Here is a 22,559-nt window from a genome sequence, read left to right on the forward strand (position 1 = left end):
CATACGCTCTTAGGTTTTCATCTCTACTGGAAGTGGAATAGATAGCTATATGGCTATCATGTCTGTAATATGCAAACACAAAGCCTGACAAAACTGATTTCTAAAATGGAAACTCCACTGGAGAACCTTGACTCCAGCCTGGCTTTTGAGATTATCTCCTATGTCTGGTGCAATGATTGGTCCTGGGGTAGCCACATGACCCAAGGAGGACCATTTTAAACTTCTAAGTTTTCACCGAGATTAACATGCATTTGTTGAAAGACAAACCTCTTTTACCCTACTCCCCCAGCTGCAAATGCTTTCAGGGTTCACATCATGTTGGAACATTTGGTTACAGTGTTTCCTAAACTTTGCGGGTAAAAATTGTTCAAGTAGGTAAAAATGGAGCACATACAAAGAAAAAAGGAGTCCAGAAACATCAAATAAAAAAGAAAGGGCCTCCATAAAATCATTTGAACTTACGATTAATTCATTAGTCATTAAAACAAGTTTAGTGTACAAAGAATCATCCCCCCAACCACCCTTTATTCCTTCACCAGGTTTAACTTACATTTTTTTTAACTTGCAAACAAAAGATTTGTCATTAACTTAGACATCAAAATCCCTTGTCTCCAAGAGCAATCATTCAACTCTGTCCCTCTCATTGTTACAATAATATGTTCACTGTATTCTTCATACACCTGCTCTTTGCCCTTGTCTCCCTATTCTATTCTATTAAAGTTATATCCAGACATTTATTTCATTTTATATCAAAGAAACTATACATGTTTTTAATCTTAGAACAATTTCTGAGTAACTTTTTGTCTCATATTCGATTTTAAGCCACCCAAGAAGCATTATTTTTTCATTTAGTATTTTAACTTTTCTAACCCAGGACTAATAGTAGATATTATGTCTTTTTCTAAATGCTCTGCTTCAATTTACATTTTAAATCTAATTTTTAAAAAGTGTATGTTTTGAATATTTGCATCACGCATCTCAGGCCTAAATATCCCTTGACAACAAATATTGCCTTTTTTTTCCCCTACATTTTTCACATATTTCAATAGGGAGCTATATTGCCTGACACAATAAAAGTTTTTGTGAATATAACATAACACATAGGCAAAATCTTGTTTCCAAGTGATTGATGATGTGGTGCCTTCAGTCTAGTCCCAATCTTTCAGTGTAATCATCATCCCTAAATCTAATGAAATATGAAATAAATATTTCACTTTGTTTCTAAAATTCAGCAGACAAATATATAGCCTGTCACATATAGCCTGTAACACCAACACATAAAAATTAAAGCAGTTCCTTCTCCACTCCCACAGCTTCACTTGACTAGCCTTAAAAAATAATAACAATAATAAAAAATAAAAGCAAAATTGTTCCTTTACCTATCTTTGAAATTTAATGGATATACTGTCAGAAAAGCTCTTATATATATATGGAGGGCCTCTATAAAATATAGACTCTTAACTAGAAAAGTAGACTTATATGCTAGTTAAATTAAAAACACAATTATACATAGTACCTTCACAAATGCACCAGTACTTATTTCAGAATGCATGATGCAATTGACTAAACCGTTTAGGGCTAGACCTCTGAAATAAAAGGCATTCACACTTTGTGATTCTAAGGGGAAAATATTATTCAAAATAGAAGCATGCAGAACCTTTACCTGATCATAATATCTATTAGGCACAAATTTCTTCTGAAAGAAAACAGATACGTTTTTCTCAGAAATGTCTTTAGATGAAGATCTAGCACATGTGTTTTTCTAACTTCTGAAAATTTTGTTTTTATTGATAAATATATATGGGGTACAATGTGGTACAATACATGTAAATATTGTGAAATGGAGAAATTAGGCTAAATAACATATCCTTCACTTCAGATATTTATTACATTATGGTGAAACATTTAAAATGTACTATTTTAGTGCTTTTAAGATATGCACTACATTATGAGTAACTGCAGTCACTTTGCTGTGTACCATATCACCAGAATGTCTTTCTCCTAACTGAAGCATTATCCCATTCAATATTTCCCCTTTTTCCACCCCTGCCGCCCACCCTGCTCAGCGTCTGATAAACCACCATTCTACTCTTAACTTCTATGAGTGCACATTTTTGGATTTCACATATAAGTGATATTATGAGATATTTGTCTTTCTGTGTCTGGCTTATTTTACTTTGTATAATGTCCTCTAAATTCATCCATGTTTTTGCAAATGACAGAATTTCATTCATTTATAAAGATAAGTAGTATTTTTGTATGCATCCTACATATACTTTTAACTTTCCACAGCTTTATTGAGATATAATTTATACATTATGTAATTCACTCATTTAAAGTACAAACTTCAAATTCTTTTAGTGTATTAACTGGGTGGACAAATAATCATCATAATATAATTTTAGAACATTTTAATGCTCCTTAAAAGAGTCTTGCACCCATTAGCAATCTTTCCCTATTTTCTCTAGCCTTTTTTAAACCCCTCCTAGTCTAGATGACTGCTCATCTACTTTCTGACTATGAATTTGCCTATTCTGGGCATGTCACATAAATGGAATCATAATAACACATAGTCATTTTTTACTCACTACTTAACATATTTTTAATGTTCATCCATTTTGGAGCATGCATTAACACTTTTTTCCCTTTTGTTGCCAAATAAGATTCTACTTTATAGACACACCACATTTTATTTATCCACTCCTCAGTTGATGAACATTTCTGTTGTTTTCTACTTTTTGTTGCTATAAACATTTGTGTACTACTGTTTGTGTAGCATTTGTTTTATTTTCTTTTTGGTAAATACATAGGAGTGAAATTGCTGGGTCATGTGATAACTCTATGTTTAACCTTTTGAAGAACTTCCAGACTGTTTTACATTTTAAAATCTCACCAGCGGTGTAGAAGGGTTCCAATTTTTCCACGTATTTTTATCCATTCTTCAGTTGATAAGCACTTAGGTTGTTTCTAATTCATGGCTATTATGAATATTGCTGCAATGAACATGAAATTGCATATGTCTCTTTTTGACATACTGATTGAAATTCCTTTGGACACATATCCAGAAGTGGGATTGATGGATCATAGGGTAAATATATTTATAATTTCTTGAGGAAGCTTCATACTGTTTTCCAAGATGGTTGTACTAATTTCCACTCCTACCAACAGTGTACAGGGTTTCTTTTTCTCTACATCCTCATCAACACTTAACTTCCATCTTTTTTTATAATAGCCGTAGTAAAATGTGTGAGGTGATATCTCATGGTGGCTTTGATTTGCATTTCTCTGATAATTAGGAATGTTTATGATTTTTTCATGCACCTGTTGGTCTTTTGTATGCCATAGAAAATGTCTATTCCGATTCTTTGCTTATTTTTTTAATAAGCATAGTTTTTTTCTTATTTTTGAGTAGGTTGAGTTACTTATATATTATTATATGAGCCCCTTATATGATGTATGGTTTAAAAATGTTATCCCATTTGTGGGTTCTCTTCATTCTGTTATTGCTTCATTTCCTGTGGAAAAGCTTTTAAGTTTTATGCAGTCTCATTTGTGTGTTTTTGCTTTTGTTGCCTGTGCTTTTGGAATAATCTACAGAAAATCATAGCTCAGGCCAATGTCATACAGTCTTCTTCTATATTTCCTTGTAGTAGTTTTAAATTTAAGACTTTAATTTTGATTTGATGCTTGTATAAAGAGCAAAATAAAAGTCAAATTTTATTCTTCTGTATGTGGATAGTCAGTTTTTTCTACACCATTTATTGAAAGTAATTTTCTTTCTTCATTGTGTATTTTTAGTTATTTTATCAAAAAAATCAATTGACCACAGACACACGGATTTATTTACGGGTTCTATATCCCTTTGTACTGTTTTACATGTCTGTTTTTATGCCATTACTATGCTGTTTTAATTACTATAGCTTTGTAATAGAGTTTGGAGTCGGGTAGTCTGATGCCTCCAGCTTTGTTCTTTTTGTTCAAGATTGCTTTGGTTGGTCCAGGTCTTTTGTGGTTCCATACAAATTTTAGCAGTAATTTTTCTATTTCTGTGAAGAATGACATTGGAATTTGATAGTGGTTGCATTTACTCTGTAGATTGCTTTGGGTAGCATTGACACTTTTACAATTCTAATTTTTGAATTCATCAATAAAGGATGTTTCTCCACTTATTTATGCCATTTTAATTTTTTTCATCAATGTGCTATAGTTTTCAGTATGCAAATCTTTTGCGTTTTTGATTAAATTTACTGCTGTCTTTTATATATTTATATATGTTTTGATTCTATTATAAATTGAATTGCCTTATTAATTTATTTTTCAGGTAATAGTTTGTCATTAGTTTATAGAAACAATAATGATATTTGTATGTTGATTTTGTAACTATTAACTTTATTGAATTTCTTCATCAGCTTTAACCGTTTATTTTGGTGGAATCTTTAAGATTTTCTCTATCTTAAGATTATATTTTCAGAAAACAGAAACAATCTTACATCTTCTTCCTTCCCTATATGGATTTCTTTTACGTCTTTGTCTTGTGTAATTGTTCTGGCTAGGCAATTACACATAATGTTTTCAGCATTTGTCATCTATTGTAGCACATTGATTGCTACTTTTCAAGTTGTAAACCTGGACATTTATCACTACTCTTCCTCCAGTACAGGAGTCCATGGCGCGGTGTGGGCCCTACTGTGCCACAGTCCATAGCACGGCTGGGCAGAGGTTCTCTTGTGCAAGAGTCCGCGGCTCTGTGGCGCAAAGAGTTCTCCAGTGCCTTAGTCCAGGGAGAGGCAGGGGTGGGGCTCCTTCAGTAGCTTAGTCCAATGCGCTGCCCTGCGAGGGTCCTCTTGAGCAGGAGTACACGATGCGGCGGGGTCCTACTGTGCCTTAGTCCAGGAAGCGGGGGACTGGGTCCTCTGGTGCCATAGTCCAGGGCGCAAGGGGCTGGATCCTCTGGTGCCATAGTCCAGGGCGCAAGGGGCTGGATCCTCTGGTGCCATAGTCCAGGCTGCCGGGAGCTGGGTCCTCCGGTGCCGTAGTCCAGGCCCCCAGGAGCTGGGTCTTCTGGTGCCATAGCCCAGGGTGCAGTGGAACAGGAGTCCTGCGGAGCAGTAGTCCAGGGCGCGCTGGGGCGTGGATCCTGAAGTGCCACAGTCCAGAGCGCGACAGGGCGGGATTCCTGCCTTGCTATATCCAGGTTGCAGCGGGGCGGGGGTTCTCTTCTGCAGGAGTCCAGGACGTGGCAGAACGGGAGTCCTCCATGTAGGAGTCCTCCGGTGCTGGAGTCCAGAGCGCAGTAAGGCTGGATCCTCCCGTGCCATAATGTAGGGCATGGTGGGACAGGGATCCTGCCTTGTGATAGTCTAGTGCCTGAGTCCGCAGTAAGGCAATGGTCCTCCAATGCTGGAGTTCACGGCGTGTTGGGGGTCACGGTCCTTCAGTGACTTAGGCCAGGGGTACCAGGGCGGGGATCCACAGTTGCCATAGTGAGGACCTCTGAGGAGTCTGGTTCCTGCCTTGCTGCAGTCCGGGGAGCAGCGGGCAGGGGTCCTCTCTTGTCAGAGTCTCTGGCGCGAGGTGGGGGTGGGGTGGGGGTTTTCCTATGCGATAGCCCACGGGGCGGTGAGGCCAGGTCCTCGCGTGCCTTTGTCCAGGGCGCAGGGGGGCGAGGGTCTTCGGTGGTGGAGTCCGCGGAGCGGCAGGACAGGGGTCCTCCAGTGCCATATTCCAGAGCACGGCGGAGTGGGGGACCTGTCCTGCAGTGGTCCAGGGCATGCGGGAGTGGTGGGCCTCCTGTGCCATAGTCCAACGCGCGGCGGGGCGGGGGTCACCTCGTCCTGCAGTCACCATGCACGAGACCCCGGTCCTGCTGTGCCTCAGTCCAGTGCGCGGTGGGACGGCTGTTCTGCTATGCTGTAGTGCAGGACGCGGTGGGGCAGCAGTAACCCAGAGAGCGCCGTGGCAGGGGGTCCTCCAGTGCTGGAATCCAGTGCATGGCGGGTCAGGGGTCTTACCGTGCCGAAGTCAGTGGCAAGGGTCCTCCCATGCCATAGTCTAGGGGGCGACCGGGCAGGGTTCTCTAGTGCAGGTGTCCAGGGTGCGGCGGGGCAGGAGTCCTCTGGTGCAGAAGTCCAGGACGTAATGGAGTGCGAGTCCTCCAGTGGCGGAGTCCAGGGCTCTGCGGGGCAGGGTTCTCCCATGCCAGAGTGTAGGGCGCGTTCAGGCGAGGGTCTTGGCGTGCAGTAGTCCAGGGTGCGGTGGGGCAAGGACAGTCCAGACCTCCATGGCAGGGGCTCCTCTGTGCAGGAGCCCAGTGCCCGGCAGATCGGGGTCCCTCCGTGCTGTAGTCCAGGGCACGGCAAGGTGTGGATCCTCTGTGCCCTAACCAGGGGGCGGTGGGTCACAGGTTCTCCCGTGTCTTGGTCTAGGGCCCAGCGGGACTGGGGTCCTGGAGTCCACGCGGTAGCCCAAGTTGCCTCAGGACCAGGTCCTGTGGAACCACAGTCCAGAGCACAGAGGGGCAGGAGTAGTTCAGGGCGAGCCACGGCCGAGGTCCTCGGGAGCCAGGATCCAGGGTGTGGAGAGGCGGGGGTTCTGCAGTGGCACAGCCCAGGACACAGCGGGATGGGGCGGGGCGGGGATTCTCTGGTGCCTTAGTCCAGGGTGGAGCCGGGTGAGAGGTCCTTCAGTAGCATAGTCTAGTGCATGGTGTTGCAGGGGTCCTCCAGTGCCTGAGGCCAGGGAGGGTCGCGGGTCCCACCGTACTCTGGTTCAGGGCGGAGCAGGTCTGAGGTCTTCTCCTGCTTCAGTCTAGGGCGCTGGAGAGCGGGGGTCCTCTGGTGCCAGAGTCAGTGGAGCCATGGGTCGGGGTCCTCCCATGTCTTAGCCCAGGACGGGGAGAGGCAGAGATCCTCCTTTGCCCTAGTCCAAGGGATCGTGAGGCCCCGCTCCTGCACAGAGGCGGTCTGTGCCTCTACCGCCACAGGGGAAAACTGCACCATCTCTGGCAAGCCTAACAGAGCAGCTGTCCTTAAAAGACTCCCAGTTGAGTGTGGTTTGGAGCAGGCCTGAGAAGTGTGCCCTTAGATGGCTTCAAGGGCTCTGAGCTTTGTTTAAGGAATCCTGCTGACTTCAGTTACTCCAAGCCCTTTTCCACTCAGCAGAACTTCTGGCCACGGGGTCACCTATCTGCGGGGCCCTTCTATCATCCCAGATCCCCACAGGACTCCCTCTCATCCTCACAGTCTCAGCTCACCGCTTTATTCATCACCGCATTCCTGGCACCAGGCCTGGCCCATAAGAAATGGGTCAGATTAAGAGCTAAATGTTTTTTCATGGTCACTTGTTTTCTTCAGGCCTCCTTTCTTTGTGCCAACATCTTTGGGTTTCTGGTTAAAGTTTTCAGCAGCTGCATGCAGTTCCATTTTTCTTACCAGGTAAGAGGCATAGCTTCATGAAAACAAAGGCAGAATGCTTGTGACCAGAGAACTCCCAGTCCTCTCCCTGCATAGGAAAACTGGACTTCTCCGGAGGGCTCCAGCTTCTGGGCAAATCTCTACGGCCACTTAATTGGGCTGTCCCTCACCTTTGTTTCTGGTTTTGAAGGGGCCGAAGTTGGGAATCTTTTCTAAGTCTCTACACACAGAGCCCTTCTTTGATGGGAAAGTCTTGACATATACCAGGATTCTCACTGACCTTTCAGAGTCTTCAAGAATCCTGAGCTGCTTTGGCTTCTGTTCCTGGAAGAGAGGCCACTGAACTGCTCTGGAGCTGGAGTTCAAGTTCAAATATTCATCACTGTTACTAAGCCTTTACATAGCATGTGATTTCTTTCCGGCAGGCTCATGGTCACTTAGGTTTGCTTGTATGTAGATGGAGGGTCTGCATCCTCATTCAGGTAACACCCTCAGTCTTTCACGCTGAGATTGGCCATTTTATTTGTAACTCACTGTACAATCCATTTGCTCTTCCAGTATCCCTTAGAAGGATGCAGAGTGTTCTGTAGAATGCCATAGAGACCTGAGTTTAGGCAAAATATTTGACCAAAAGTCCACCAACTCACATGAGTATCTCCCCACAACTTGTACAGTGCTAGTCTCTGGGTATATAGTAAATGAAACCGTGCCTGAGCAGATGATAACTAACACCCTCCCCTGAGATACTCCAAGGTTGCTTTATTCAAGCAAAACAGTGAGTTGTAATTCTCACAGTAGTCCTACAGGATAGCTGCTGTTACTGCTTATGACACAGATGGGCAACCTGAGGCTCAGATGGAGTTAAGTGGCTTAATTGGTAGCAATAGAGCCAGAATTTGAACCCAGGCTGCCTGATCACCAAATAAAATTGTATTCAACATGATGCACTTAACTTTTCTGGCCTCATTTCTCTCACCTGTAAAAATGCAGGTTTCAGTGTTTGTAATATTTTACCTGTGGTTGAAAGTTACCAGCCCTTCCTTGATGACCCATGGTAAGACCCATGAGCCTTTGAATATAATTATAGAAAACATTTGGAGAGGGATAGAGAGAGACAAGATCATGCCTCCTTTGATAACGTCAAATTTTCAGTGCACGAAGCCATACATAGTGCAGTTTTCTAGCTTCCCTTTCACAAATGGTGTTGAAGAAAGTAAATAAAGCAACTCAGCTATCACTGGGAATGCAGTAGAAGTAATCAAGTCCAGTGCTGGGAGATAGTTGCCATGATATTCCAACATGGACACCAGGATCACAGTGGATGACTATGCCCTCCCTTGAAGATGGTGGCTTGCCTCTCTTTCTGTAAGCAAATGTCATGTCATAACAGTATTAAACAATTACAAGTAATGTCCCCATCTGCTTCTACACTGCCTTTGAAATATTATTTTAGATCTGCCAAAATAAATTGCAAACTCATTAACAAGAATGCGGGGTGGGGGGTGCATTCATCCCTGCCTTCCTGAGTAGTCTATTCACCCAAAGACAAAAGGATGACCAGCCTCCATCCGGGATATTCAAAGACACAGTCACCCTGCCATGCAGCCCGAGGCTGGCAAAGGTCCAATCCCCTTTTTAAGAAGCTTGTTGGATGAGCTCTTTAAACATACAACCACAAAGGAAAGGCACAGCCAGTGCGAGGGAGGCTGATAAGATGGGTATTTTGTTTACTTCAAGGTTAGAATGCAACTTCTCTATCAAAATGGGGTTATCTGACCTCCACAATGCTGCAGTCCAGCTAAATCCTGCAAATATTCATCCACCATTTACTATGGATAAAACAATAATGTGCTGTAGGGAATCCAATTACACACACACACGAAAGTGCACTCAGACATGCGTGCACACACACTGCTCCTGCTGCCTCAGAGCTTCCAGGCCGGCAAGGAGGAAGTGCAAACATTAGTAGGTAAGTCTGCTACCAGGAAGAATATGATAAGTAGATCCAACAATACAACACAGTATGATAGAAGCAAACAAGGTGGAGATCTGACTCCCTTTCACTTATGAAACTGATTATGGAATAGTTTATGAAAGACTTGCCTGGATGAATCTCGTATTTTCCAAGTGTTTTCTATCCCAGTGATTGGAACTTTTATTCATCTATACCATTTTCCAAAAGGAAAGAACAGGCGATTTTCCTAAGACCATCCTCTGTCTTATCCCTCATATCCCAAACATCACCAAGCCCTGTCCACTTTTACCTACTCAGTTTCTCTCCACTTGCTCTGTTTTCTCCATAAGCACTAGCAATACCTTGGTTACGTGATGACCACCAGCAGCAGCTGGGGAAACCAGCACCCTGTGGAACTGCATAGGGTGCATAGAATACGTCCTCCCTTCAGTTGGCTTGGGTCAGCTTAGGTCATGGGCCACCTGGGCTGATAGCAGTTTCCGCAGAAATGCCTCAAGATGGTAGAATAATCCAAATCTCTTTGCATGGGGCATGGTGTGGCTATCTGAGAAAAACCTGGCTTTTCTAGGAAGGAGAAAGAAGAATGCTTCTTGAGGGGAAGAAACCAACAGGAATGTGCCTGAGGGAAACGTCACCAGAGGAGAGTGAGCTGTAATGAGTACTTTGGCAGATTATTTCTTGTGGTTCTTGGGTTCCTTGGTCCTGCACAGAGCTACCATTTACTCATTTGACAAATATTTGAGTGGTAGACTCCAGGATTCAATAGTGATCAAAAATTTCTTCCCTAGTGGAGCTTAGAATCTAACAAAAAGAGTTGATGTTAGTCACAAAATTATGTAATAAGGGAAAGTGCAGCAGACCCAGGTGTGCTGCAAGAGCCTGTGAAGGCGGATTGACCCCAAGACAGAGGCAGGAAAGTCTGCCTCCAGGAAGCAGCAATTGAGCCAAAATCAGAAAACTAGGCAAAGACACAGTATTCAGGAGGAGGTAGAAGCTGGCCCATGAGGATGGTGGTGTGGAGAGATGAAGAAATACCCAGGTCCTTGGATTTATTGTTGAGCTGCTGAATGAACCAGGGCTGGCTCTTGCCCAACCTCTGCACTTCTTGTTTTGCAAGGTTATAAATTTTTTTATTTAAAAGCTAGTATGATTTGGGATCTGTTGCTTTTCTGAGACCCCATCCTGTGAGGTAGACGGGGCCTCACTGTACTCTGGGGAACTAAAGATGGAGAAGAGTTTTAGAGTGCCTGGAGAAGAGGCCCTTTAATGGATCATTTAAGAAGAGGGTGCTACCGCTAGACTGCCCAGATTCCCTTTCTGGGTTTGTGACCTTGGACTCTCTGTGTCTGTTTTCCAATCTGAAAAATGGAATAATGATAGTATCTGCCTCTGCCTGCAAGACCTTGACCTATCAGACCAACTACTTTTTCACTAGAACTCTCTTCTTGCACTGTACCCCAACTGGACCACTCATTAAAACTTAAAATGGTCATGTTTTCCTTTTCTAGATTTTGCTCAAGACATTTCCCTCATCAAAATTAAATTTGGTCCATCTCCCCCTATTGGAATTCAACCCATTCTCCAGAAATCAGTTCAAATTTTATCACCAGAAAGCCTCTCTCAATTACCCCCATCTTCTTTTATTCTTTGGGCCATTTCTGCTATCATTTCTATGTTTTTCTTTTTTGCTACATATTGGTGTAGGTACATATGATCTCCACTTCCACTCAAATGTGAGGTTACTGCGGGCAATCCCTATGGGTATAGTCATATCCCAAGAGTCCTGGGCATAGGGTCTCTCTCTTTCACCCAGGCTGGAGTACAGTGGTGCAACCAGAGCTTACTGCAGCCTCGACCTCCTGGGTTCAAATGATCCTCTCACCTTAGCCTTTCCAGTAGCTGGTACTAAAAGCGGGCACCGACATGCTTGGCTAATTTTCATATTTTTCATAGAGATGGGGTTCCACCATGTGGCTTTGCTTGGTCTCAAAGTTCTGAGCTCAAGCAATCCACCTGCCTCAGCCTCTCAACGTCCTGGAATGACAGCATGAGCTGCCACACCTGGCTGCATGCCGAATACTTTAGAGTTGTTTATGCCTGACACTTCCAGGGCATGCAGAACTATGGTGGCATTAACTGACACATTAACCAACTGCCTCGCTTACTTTTCTTTTGACTCAGTTTATAAATGTTCTTAATTTAAATTTTAATTTCAACATGTATACATCTTTGAAATAAATAAAATAATCTCTTTGAATGTTTGACATAATGTAGAAGAAATTGACAAATGGACATCTTTATTTCATTTTCCATCTCAAAATGTGGTACAAATATGCTCCCCTAAAGTGATCCCAATTATTACATAGTCATCTTGCTGTGGCTAATGTAGAATGTTTTTGCAATATCACATGCATGAAGGGCACATCCAAAAAACATTTGAGTGGAGATAATACTAGATTCTAGAAAGTATCTAGACACTTAAGAGCAGGCAGTGATGATGTTAATTAACAATAACAATGTCGAGGGGCTGGCTTTTGCCCTTCCCTAATAAGCATAAAGAGCATAGAAACTCAGCAAATTTGCTCTTATTTTCTTCATTATTTGGTTTTTGAATCAGTAAATGCTTTCCACAGGGGTCATCTTATTAGTCATCTTGTCATTTTGCTGCGTCCCATCTTCGTCCTTGCAATTTTTCCTTTTTCCCATTTTGGCATGTATTGAGAGGAGTGTTATGCTGATGAAATGCCCTGTCCTGAATTGCTATCTGATTAGAACTTCCCTCAATTTTTAAAATGCTTCTTGACATGGTTTGGATTTGTGCACCCCCCACCCCCAATCTCATGTGGAATTGTAATTGCCAGTTTTGGAGGAGGGGCTTTCTGGAAGGTGACTGGATCATAGAGGTGGTTTCTAATGGAATGGTTTAGCCTAATCCCCCTCGTGCTGTCTGATGATAAAGTTCTCCTGAGATCTGCTTGTTTAAAAAGTGTGTAGCACCTCCCCTGACTCCTTTCAGCCATGTGAATATGTGCTTGCTTCCTTTTCACCTTCTTCCATGATTGTAAGTTTCCTGAGGCCTCCCTATAAGCATAAGTCTGTACAGCCCACGGAACTGTGAGCCAATTCAATCCCTTTTCTTTTTCAATTACCCACTCTCATGTATATCTTTATAGCAGTGTGAGAACAGATTAATACACTCCTCCTCAGAAAGCATTCAATTTAGCTGTGTCTAAAGTATGCCAGGTGTCCTAGGGTGTTATCTTAGCCAATAATTCTTCCTCTTCAGCAAGATCTATTTGCCTATGACAGCTTGACCTACAGTTCCTACCATACTTGTCAGTAACAAGTAGCCCATAACATCTGAAGGGACTTCATTGAAATCACAGAGGTTCTTTAGTTCTTTACCTCATTAGTAGGCATTAGGGAAGCACATCAACTTTCTAATTTAATAAGGTGCCTGTTGCTTTGAAAAACTGCTCAAAAAAAGATAGGAGAGGCTTACTTAAAGATATCACTATAGGCGTGGCATGCTGCTTCACACCTGTAATCCTAGTACTTTGGGAGGCTGAGGAGAGAGGATCACTTGAGTCCAGAAGATCAATACCAACCTAGGTGACATGGCAAAGCCCCATCTCTACAAAACAAAACAAAATCAAAAAAAATATTTAGGCATGGTGGCATGTGCTTGCATTCCCAGTTGCTCAGGAGACTGAGGTGGGAGAATCACTGAGCCCAGGGAGGTTGAGGCTGCAGTGAGCCATGATCATGCTGCTGCATTCCAATCTGGGTGACAGAGCAAGAGCCTGTCTCAAAAAAAAAAAAAAAAAAAAAAAAAAAAAAAAAAGGTACTATCTATAACTATTCTTAATTAGAATAACTAGGTTTTTTTCAACAGTGGAAACTCAAAACAGACAAAATTGTTGTACCTCAAGGTGAGTTGTCATAGTCAGTTAATTCCTTTGCTTGCAACTGCCCAATAAATGGATGAGGACTCACTTCACCCATAAATAAGAAAGGTGAACAGCACATGGGGCCTGTAGATGCCTTTTGCAGGGCCCTCTTTTTCTCTTCCTAAAGTTGCAATTTGGGTATTTCTCTAGATGGGCACAACATAGAAACTGTCATCCTAGATCAGAGCCTGGAGAGAGAGATACAGGTGTCATGCTTACATCTGCAGAGTGGGAACAAGCCCAGAAAAATCAAGACGATTAAGCAGAGAGCTTCCATACTGGAGATAAACCAGCTGTGTAAAAAATCATGCTTATTGAGCAAAAAAGCATTGCATCATCGAAATAACTGCTTTAACTAAGAAGTAAAGGAACTGATGCCCCAGCAGAGCACAGAGAGCCACAGAGACAGGAGCTGCGTTTCAAACAAGGTCATTGCTGTTGTCCCCACCCTGAGTTAAGTATCTCTGCTTCACCCTTCTTTACCAAAGTTCTGCTTGATCATCCTTTTGTTTTATTTTCTTTTTTCTGTACTTCACTTCTTTGAGAAAATATAAACCAAAACCTTACATAAAACAGGAATTGAGCTTTTGACAGTGTTAGCCCTTGAAACAACCAAACAAAAAGGTTTCTATTATTTCTCATCTCTGTGCTACCCAATACAGTAGCCAATAGCCCCAGATGACTATTAAAATTAAAATTAATTCAAATAAAACAATTTACAATTTAGCTGGTCAGTTGTACAATTTAGCTGGTCAGTTGTACTACCCACATTTCAGTTACTCAATAGCCACATGTGGCTAGTGGCTACTGAACTGGCCAGCACAAATGTAGAACATTTTCATCATCATAGTTCTCTAGGCCATGGAAAACTTGCTGAACCAATTTCCAGTGTGCACATTTATTTGCATACCTAGGAGCTTTTTGACCCTGTGTTGAGATGCCTAACCAGCTTCCTGATTGACCTCCTGATATTTCTGCAAATGTGGACTAAGAGGCCAGGATTCCTCAGGGCCCAGGTGACTCAGGTTATTCAGAAATTATATTTGGACTACCAGTCCTCTGCTTGATTTGGGATGCAAAAAGGGACTTCTCTCCCTAATCACTAAAGTAGCTTTTCAAGGTCCCCCTCTCATCACGGTAAGAGTCTCATTTCTTGAGACTCTTATTTCTTTCCATGACTTATGTTTTGGAAAGAGTGGATTCAGACAGAAGAGCTGGCTCTGTGCTGGTTTTCCAGGGGTCAACCCTTTTGTCAGTGACAAGTCTGCCTCTCTACATGATGTACATTGTGTCCCACTACTGGTAATAGAAGCTCAGCAATTGATTGACTGTTAGGTTATTTTCAAAGCTCAATATTCACAATAATCTAAAAGACCCCCACATAACCATGAGGACAGACAGGGCTTTCATAACCTGCAAAAGACAAGGTGCAAATTTCTTCTTTCCATCCCAGCAACAAATCGACAACTCAGCCAGCACTTAAGTTGGGGTAAAAATTAATTAAAAGAAGAATGTATCAAGCAGAGATAAAAGAACAAAAAAGCTATTGCAGCTGTCCTCTCCATGACAGAGGCCTGTGATTTGAATTTTAATGTTTTCATCTACTTTCTGCTTTTGTGTTTCTTTTATTATTTTTTTCACTATCTCTTATTTGTAGATACAAATTTTTCATATTTAAAAGCTATTTTAAATATAATCTTTAAAAGGAGAAGCATTCTTTTTTTTAATTGCACAAAATACTGAAGGTGAGATCCACTGATTGCAATGCAATGGGACAGTATCTCTGGAAGCAATTTTATCCAGAAAAATAAATAGCTTTAAAACAATTCACAACCTTGGACCTAATACCTCTACTTCTAGGAAGCTAGCCTATGAAGGTTTCTGCTGAAGGATGTTTATCACAGTATTATTAATAATGCGAAAAAGCCAAAGAGGAGACCTAAAATGTTTCAAAGATGAAAACGGTTTGATAAAATCATTTTTTTTTGAGACAAGGTCTCACTCTTGCCCAGGCTGGGGTGCAGTGGCACAATCTCGGCTCACCGCAACCTCCACCTCCCAGGTTCAAGCACTTCTCCTGCCTCAGCCTCCCAAGTAGCTGGGAATACAGGCACCCCCACCATGCCTGGCTATTTTTTTGTATTTTAGTAGAGATGGGGTTTCACTGTGTTGGCCAGGCTGGTGTCAAACTCCTGAGCTCAGGCAATCCACCTGCCTCGGATTCCCAAAATGCTGGGATTACAGGCATGAGCCACCATGCCTGGCAATAAACAACATATTTAAACTCTAAAATGTTATGCAAGCATTCCAGGCATGCTTTGGAAAAACTATTAATCCTACAAAAGATGCTTATGTTATTATATAGACTAACAGACCAAGATTCTCCAGGACACTTACTTTGTTAAGTGTCTGAAGTAAAATACAATGCTGTATATAAAATGTGACCTCAAGTCAGGTCCCAGTCTTTTCATCTGGGAAATTCTGTTAATTATACTGCCCTTCCCCTTTATAGGTTTTCTGTAGGAGTTAAATAAAATCCACTTTGTTAATTGCTTAACACAATGCTCAACACTGGTAGGGGAGCTATAATTGTCAGCTATTGTCCTATGTGCCAAGAAAAAGACCACACAGACAGACACACACACAAACACACAAAGACACACATGGAGGGAGAGGAAGTAAAGATTAGGAAGCAGCACATAGTGTATCAGTAGACAATGGGACCACTAGTGATTTTCATATTCTTTTTTATTTTCTTTTTTATACTGCTTACATTTTCAGTGTTACATAATGAGCATGTATTACTTCTGTAATCAGAAGAAGGTGGTATAAACCTCACCTTAATATAATAAAACAAAATTACTGGCCAGGCACAGTGTCTCATGCCTGTAATCCTAGCACTTTGGAAGGCTGAGACTGGTAAATCTCTTGAGCTCAGGAATTTGAGACCAGCCTGAGCTCAGTGAGACAGTGAGACCTCGTCTCTGGAAAAAATACAAAAATTAGCCAGCGATAGTGGTGTACACCTGTAGTCCTAAGTTACCTGGGAAGCTAAGGTGGGAGGGTGGCTTGAGCCCAGGAAGTGGCTGCAGTGAGCTGTGATTGCACCACTGCACTCCAGCCTGGGTGAAAAAGCCAGACCCAGTCTCATACAAAAATAAAAACAAACAAACAAACAAAAAAGTTATTACTTAAGTCTCACATGCTGTCTTGGAGCCATCTTAGTGTTGAGGGATTCAAGAGACTGGAGAGACCAATGGGTGAGACAGGAGGATTTTATTAAAGTGACCACTTGCCCAGTGGATTTGCATCCAAAAGGCTGAGCCCGGAAAAAAGACGGGGCCTGGTTTTTAAGCATGCAGCTGTGCAAAACTTACAGGGCGGGCTTAGCAAGCTTACAGAAGCAGAACAAAGGCAGTTAATCAAACAGTGACAAGTGTATGACTCAAACATGTCTGATGACCTCTGCTGGGCCACCCAGCAGGCTCTCAGCAGATGGTAACTATTTTAGGCTTGCTCAGGCATGTCTTGTGACCTTCTCAGGGTCACACAGATGGAAAACAGGAACTTAAAAAATCCTTATAAACTTACAGAGATAGTTACAAAAATAGTTATGAGAGCAGAACAAAGAAATATTGGCCTGGGAAAGAATCTCAAAGGGGGAAGCTGATAAGAACTTGTTTTTCTCATCCCTGTTCCTGGAGTCCATTCCTTCTGGGCTCTTCCTGGCCTTGTATATAAAGTTATCTTAATTCTAGCACGGCCTTGGAGTGAGTCAGCCTGGAACAGGCAGGAACTTAGGTTTTTCTCTTTTTAATTTCTGCTTTAGTAGGCCAGGGTTCTGATTTTCACTGCTGAGAAAGTAAAGTGTGTTCAGGCTGCCCATGGTTCTGGGCCCCCCCGGGTCTCTGAGGAGGGCTGTCCCCTCCATCACAGAGAATATCAGGACACTAGCTTGTTCTAGTTATACTTACACACTCCTCTCATGTTGTCTATGGAGTGGTGGATGCTGCAGGGAGGGTGACATCCTAGTTAGTCCTAAGAGCCAGACTGCCTGAAGCTCACTATAACAAGTCCTGCCTTGGGGAAGAAGGAAGTGTGTCTCTGTGAACCTCCCACCTGGGCCGAAGGGAGGCCACTCTCTCTGCTGCCTCTCCCCAACCTTGGCCTTCTGTGCTCCTAGTGAACCTCTCACCCCCTGCCTACAGGCCTCGAATCTCAAGACCATGATGACCTCTGGTCACCCCTGAATCCAGAGCTTTCCTTTTACAAAGGGGAAACTGAGACCTGGAGCAGGGCTGATGTTCAGCCAGCGCACAACGGAATGGCCGAATTGGTGGTAAAATACTGAAATAGTTCCAGTGTGGATGGAAAGGGGCTGCTGCCCTAAGCATCTCTACTGCCCACCTCATCCCTTCCTCCAGGACCCTGGGTCAGCACCAGGAGCATCAAAGTGGCCAGGATTGGCCGGAGCCCATGCTAATGGCTCTGCCAGCCCTTCTCCCCACCAGAGAGGGCAGGGGGATTCAGGCCATCTAGAGGTAGCATTGTGACCGTATCTGCAGTAGTCAATCCTTGTGTGCCACGGTCCCTGACTTTGTTAATAAGGGCACCAGCCTACATCCCTCTGGTACTCAGTGATAAGCATCTAAAATCTTCTTAAAGAAAAAATTTAAAAAGCTTTCAAAATATATGACTTAACATATGAGGCTGCATAAACATCTCTAGTAGTTGTCCAACTGGTGCTTCTGGTTCTGCCTCCCCAGAAAGTGGATGACCTGGGCCACCCTCCACCACTGCCCTGTAAGGCCATGGGACACACAGCCCATCAGTTCTCTTCATGTGGTCATCCCCTGTTAGATGGGAGAAAATACACCTGCCTCATTTTTGTACCTTCTGTGTGAACATTCCACGACAGAACTTCACTAAATGTGTGATGAAGAACTGAATGAATGAATGAATATGAGAGAAAATGAATAAATGGCTCAGATCCTGGGCTGGAAGTCTGTGTATGAGGATGGTGGGTAAAGGAGGGTCTGTTTTTCTTGCCTTTAAGTCATTACTTCTCATTTTGGGGCAGGAGCACAGGCTTTGAATGCAGACCGACTGGACTTTAATTCTGGCTTTACTAGTTGTGATTGTGTGATCTTGTACATGTTACTTAAACCCTCTGTGCCTGTTTCTTTATCTGTAAAATGGAGATAATAAGATGTCAAAGGACTGTGGTAAGAATTAAATGCTTTAAACAAATCTCAGTTTGTATTAAGTCCTCAATAGATTGGGTTTAGCATCATGAGTGCATGTGTTTCTGGAGCAATGCTCATCTTGGGCTGGTACCTACACAGAGAAAGACTCTGGCCTCTTCTCATCCACATGTATCTGTCTTATGCCTGGTTCCCATTCCCAGGTCCTTGGAAGATCCATATTGCTGAAACAGTGAAGGGTGATAGGCACCTCAGGACAACTAAGTTGCTCCCCAAACATCTTCCCCCTCCCAAACGCCCCTGTGGTCTTTAGCATTTAACAGGAATCTCTCGACACTCTCAAGGGATGATCCTCTCATGGAAGACCAGTAGGGAGGAGGCTGCGGGAAAGGTCAGGCACTGTGCACTTCCCTGACAGCTGCATATGGTTCTGTTTCCAAGCCCACGGGTCACTACAAATAAGGCAAGTTATATGACATAATAATGTGATTCTTTGGTGCCTCAGTCCACACGGCACGTTAATACTCCTAGAGTGGATTGCATGGTGGTCTATCAAAAGATATGTCTACCTGGAATGTGTGAATGTGCCTTTATTTGGAAAACAATCTGCAGATGTAATTAAATCCAGCACCTTGAGATGATTAGGATGGGCCCTAAATCCAATGACAAGTATCCTTATAAGAAAAGCGGCAGGTAGGGCACAGTGGCTCACACATATAATCCCACCACTGAGGGAGGTAAGGTGGTGAGAGGATCACTTGAACTCCAGGCTTTCAAGACCTGCCTGGGCAACATGGTGAGACCCTGTCTCTCCAAAATGTATATAAAATATAATAGCCAGGCACGATGGCACCCGCCTGTAGTCCCAGCTACCAGCTACTCAGGAGGCTGAAGTGAGAGGGTAGCTTGAATCTGGGAGGTTGAGGCTTCAGTAAGCTGTGTTCATGACACTGCTCTCCAGCCTGGGGGGCCTCTCCAACCTGCACTAGAAGAGCTGGGCCCTGGCTCTGGGCACCATGCAGCCTCTGAGGTGAGGCTGAGCGCCAGTTTCTGCCCTCCTGCAGCTAGAGACCAACACCCTGACTTAGGCGTCGTGGAGGCTTCTGGCCCAAGGGTCCGCGCTGCTGGTGGAGCTGGCAGGGTCGGAGTTTGCCACAGCTGCTGCTGCGCGCCTTGTGCAGGTTACCACTGCAGCTGAATCTACAGCAGAGGCAGGCAGGGCTGGTCCCAGACAGCCTGGGGGTCGCTGAGTGGACGGTCCTTTCACCCTAGAGTCAGCTCTTTCTTGTAGGCGCCCAGATCAGGGTGTGCAGGCGCTGGGCACAGGGCAGCCGCCAGGAAATGGCTGAGCTGCCGGTTCCCGCCCTCCTGCAGCTGGGGCCGGACCACCTGAATTAGCCGCTGGGCGGCCTCTGGCCCTGGAGTCCGCCTGGCTGGTGTAAAAGCATGGTCTGGAGTTGCCATCAAGTCTGCTCCGCGCGCCATGTGCAGGTGGCTGCTGCAGCTGAGCCCATGACAGAGGCTGGCAAGGCGTTTCCGAGGCAGCCTCAGGGTCATTGAGTGGAGCACTATCCCACCCTAGGGTCCGCTCTTCCTTTGCCTGAGCCCAGAGTTCGGGTCGCGGGCACTGGGAACTGTGCAGCCAAGGAGACTGGGCCGAGGGCAAAGGTTTCTGCCCTGCTGCAGCTGCGGGGCTGACTGCCTGAATTAGGCGCTGAGGCGGCCTTGTCCCCCGTGTCAGGGCTCTGGTGCAGGCAAAGTGCCGGGTTGCTCTGCTGCTGTCGCGCCCTTGTACAGGTGGCAGCTGCAGCTGAGCTCTCAGTAGAAGCCGGCAGGGTTGGTCCCAGAAAGCCTGAGGATCGCGGTGTGCACCACCCTCTCAGCCTAGGGTGGACTCTTCCTTGGCCCGCGCCCAGAGCTCGGGGTTTCGGGCGCTGGGCCCTGTGCAGCTGCCCAGAATAGGCTGTGCGGCTGGTTCCCGCCCTGGCAAGGCATCCAGCTATGGAATCTGCACTGCTGTTGGGGGCAGGTAAGGTCGGAGGAGGGGGGTGTGGTTTCCACCATTGCTAACGGGCGCCACCTGGCGATGGTAGCTGCAGCTGAGAGCATGGCAGAGGCTGGCAGGGCTGGTCCCAGACACCCTGAGGGTCGCTGAGTGCACCGCCCTACCCCCTAGGGTCTGCTGTTCCTTAGACTGCTCCCAGGACGTGGTGTGCGAGCGCTAGACACAGAGCAGCCTCCAGGATGGGGCTGAGCGGCCGATTCCCGCCTTGCTGCAGCTACAGTCTGAATTAGGCTCCACCGCAGTATCTGGCCCTAGGGTTCGTGCTACTGGTGGCATGGACAGAGATGGGGGCTGCCACAGCTGCTATGGGGCTGAGCAGCCGATTCCCGCCCTCTTGCAGCTATGGGACCGACCACCTGACTTAAGTGCCTTGGAGGCGTCCGGCCCTGGGGTCTTTGCTGCTGGTGTCTGAGGGCAGGGGCAGGGCTGCCACTGCTACTGCCCTGTGCCATGCGCAGGCGCCAGCTGCAGCTGAGCCCAAGGCAGATGCTGGCAGGGCTGGTGTGAGGCTGCCCAGGGGTGGGTGAGTGCACCTCCCTTCCACCCTAGGGTCCGTTATTCCTAGACCAGCGCCCAGATTGCGGGGTCGTGGGCGTTGGACACTGTGCAGCCATGAGGATCTGGTTGAGCGCAGATTCCTGCCCTCCTGCGGCTGAGAGGCCAACCTCCTAACATGCGCTGCAGTGACCTCTGGCTCTGGGGTCCGCGTTCTTGCTGGAGCTGGCAGAGACCAGAGCTGCCACCAATGCTGCTTCCAGGAGTGTGCATGTGGCAGCTGCCGCTGATCCCGCGGCGGAGGATGGCAGGGCTTGTTCCAGAAGGCTTGAGGGTCCGCGAGTGCACCGCCCTCCCACCCTAAGGTCTAGTCTTCCTTGCCCGCGCCCAGAGAGTGGGATTACGGGCGCTGAGCACAGTGCAGGCGCTGGGATGGGGCTGAGCTGCAGGTTTCCCCCCTCTGGCTGCTGGGGGGCCGACCGCCTGAGTTAGGGGACGCGGCGGCTTTTGGTCATGGGGTCTGCACTGCCGGTGGCTTGCACAGGGTCGGGGGCTGCCACAGCTGCTATAGTTCACCGTGTGCACTTGGCAGCCGCCCCTGAGCCCACCGCTGAGGCCGCAGGGCTGGTCCTGTCCCAGACGGCCTGAGGGTCACTTGCCCGCGCCCAGAGCACCGGGTGGCGGGAGCTGGGCACTGTGCAGCCTCCGGGAATCCGCTGAAGGGCGCGTTGCAGCTCTCCTGCAGCTGTGGGCCGACTGCCTGACTTTGGCCACTAGGTGGCCTCTGGCGCTAGGGTTTCCGGGCCGCTGGTGTCGGCGGGCGGAGTCCGGGTTTGCCACCGCTGCCCACAGGCTCACCATGGCCTGAGTAAATGCTCGCACTGCTCATACATCCATTTTTAAAAATTGGGTTGAACATGAGAACATAATCATTCATATTTTATCCATTTGCATGTATTCGATAACATCCTTTCCCTGTTCTTGTCTCTGCTTTGCAGCCTTTTTCTTCAAAGAATGAATGTTTCCATGTTTTATACCCACAGAATTTCTGGTTTTTCCCGTTGGAGCCCAAGGAGCAAGGGCAGAATGAGGAACATGATGTTCCTTACAAACAGTTACTCATGAGGCTGCAGCACAGAAACTGCAATAAATGTCAGTTACAAAGTGTCCATGTGCATTTTAAATTGATGGTTATTAAAATCCTTCTTTATCTATAGGGGATCTAAAAAATTAAACAATTCGTAATTTAAACACAGTTGCCAGGTAGCCTGAGTCAAAAATCAGGAGAGGCTCCATGGTCTGAAGTCTCCTAGTGCTCACCTTGGTGAGGGTCTAGTTGCCTAATGGGTTGGTGTAATGAAGTCATTCTAACACAAGCAAAACACGACTCCCTTAGTTATTCAAAAAATCAGGAAATAGAAAAAAATAAATGAGAATAAAATATTGACAGGAGAGAAA

At 45.3% G+C, this 22,559-nt stretch overlaps 6 annotated features.

Moving 5' to 3' along the window:
• Window positions 16,644-16,951: a transcriptional cis regulatory region, noted in NCBI's record as "candidate enhancer chr2.4815 targeted for multiplex CRISPR interference". NCBI's record gives its function as "positively regulates CCDC74A gene expression with high confidence in K562 cells {active_cell/tissue: K562}" and the evidence as "EXISTENCE:mutant phenotype evidence [ECO:0000015][PMID:30612741]".
• Window positions 16,744-16,923: an enhancer, noted in NCBI's record as "active region_16537". NCBI's record gives its function as "activates an Ori minimal core promoter by ATAC-STARR-seq in GM12878 lymphoblastoid cells {active_cell/tissue: GM12878}" and the evidence as "EXISTENCE:reporter gene assay evidence [ECO:0000049][PMID:35858748]".
• Window positions 20,121-20,759: an enhancer, noted in NCBI's record as "H3K27ac-H3K4me1 hESC enhancer chr2:132429946-132430584 (GRCh37/hg19 assembly coordinates)". NCBI's record gives its function as "activates a minimal SCP1, AML or CMV promoter by ChIP-STARR-seq in naive H9 embryonic stem cells {active_cell/tissue: H9 hESC(naive)}" and the evidence as "EXISTENCE:reporter gene assay evidence [ECO:0000049][PMID:30033119]".
• Window positions 20,285-20,584: an enhancer, noted in NCBI's record as "active region_16538". NCBI's record gives its function as "activates an Ori minimal core promoter by ATAC-STARR-seq in GM12878 lymphoblastoid cells {active_cell/tissue: GM12878}" and the evidence as "EXISTENCE:reporter gene assay evidence [ECO:0000049][PMID:35858748]".
• Window positions 20,760-21,399: an enhancer, noted in NCBI's record as "H3K27ac-H3K4me1 hESC enhancer chr2:132430585-132431224 (GRCh37/hg19 assembly coordinates)". NCBI's record gives its function as "activates a minimal SCP1, AML or CMV promoter by ChIP-STARR-seq in naive H9 embryonic stem cells {active_cell/tissue: H9 hESC(naive)}" and the evidence as "EXISTENCE:reporter gene assay evidence [ECO:0000049][PMID:30033119]".
• Window positions 21,400-22,037: an enhancer, noted in NCBI's record as "H3K27ac-H3K4me1 hESC enhancer chr2:132431225-132431862 (GRCh37/hg19 assembly coordinates)". NCBI's record gives its function as "activates a minimal SCP1, AML or CMV promoter by ChIP-STARR-seq in naive H9 embryonic stem cells {active_cell/tissue: H9 hESC(naive)}" and the evidence as "EXISTENCE:reporter gene assay evidence [ECO:0000049][PMID:30033119]".

Source organism: Homo sapiens, chromosome 2 (assembly GCF_000001405.40).
Source record: "Homo sapiens chromosome 2, GRCh38.p14 Primary Assembly".
In the NCBI taxonomy this organism is placed as follows: domain Eukaryota; kingdom Metazoa; phylum Chordata; class Mammalia; order Primates; family Hominidae; genus Homo; species Homo sapiens.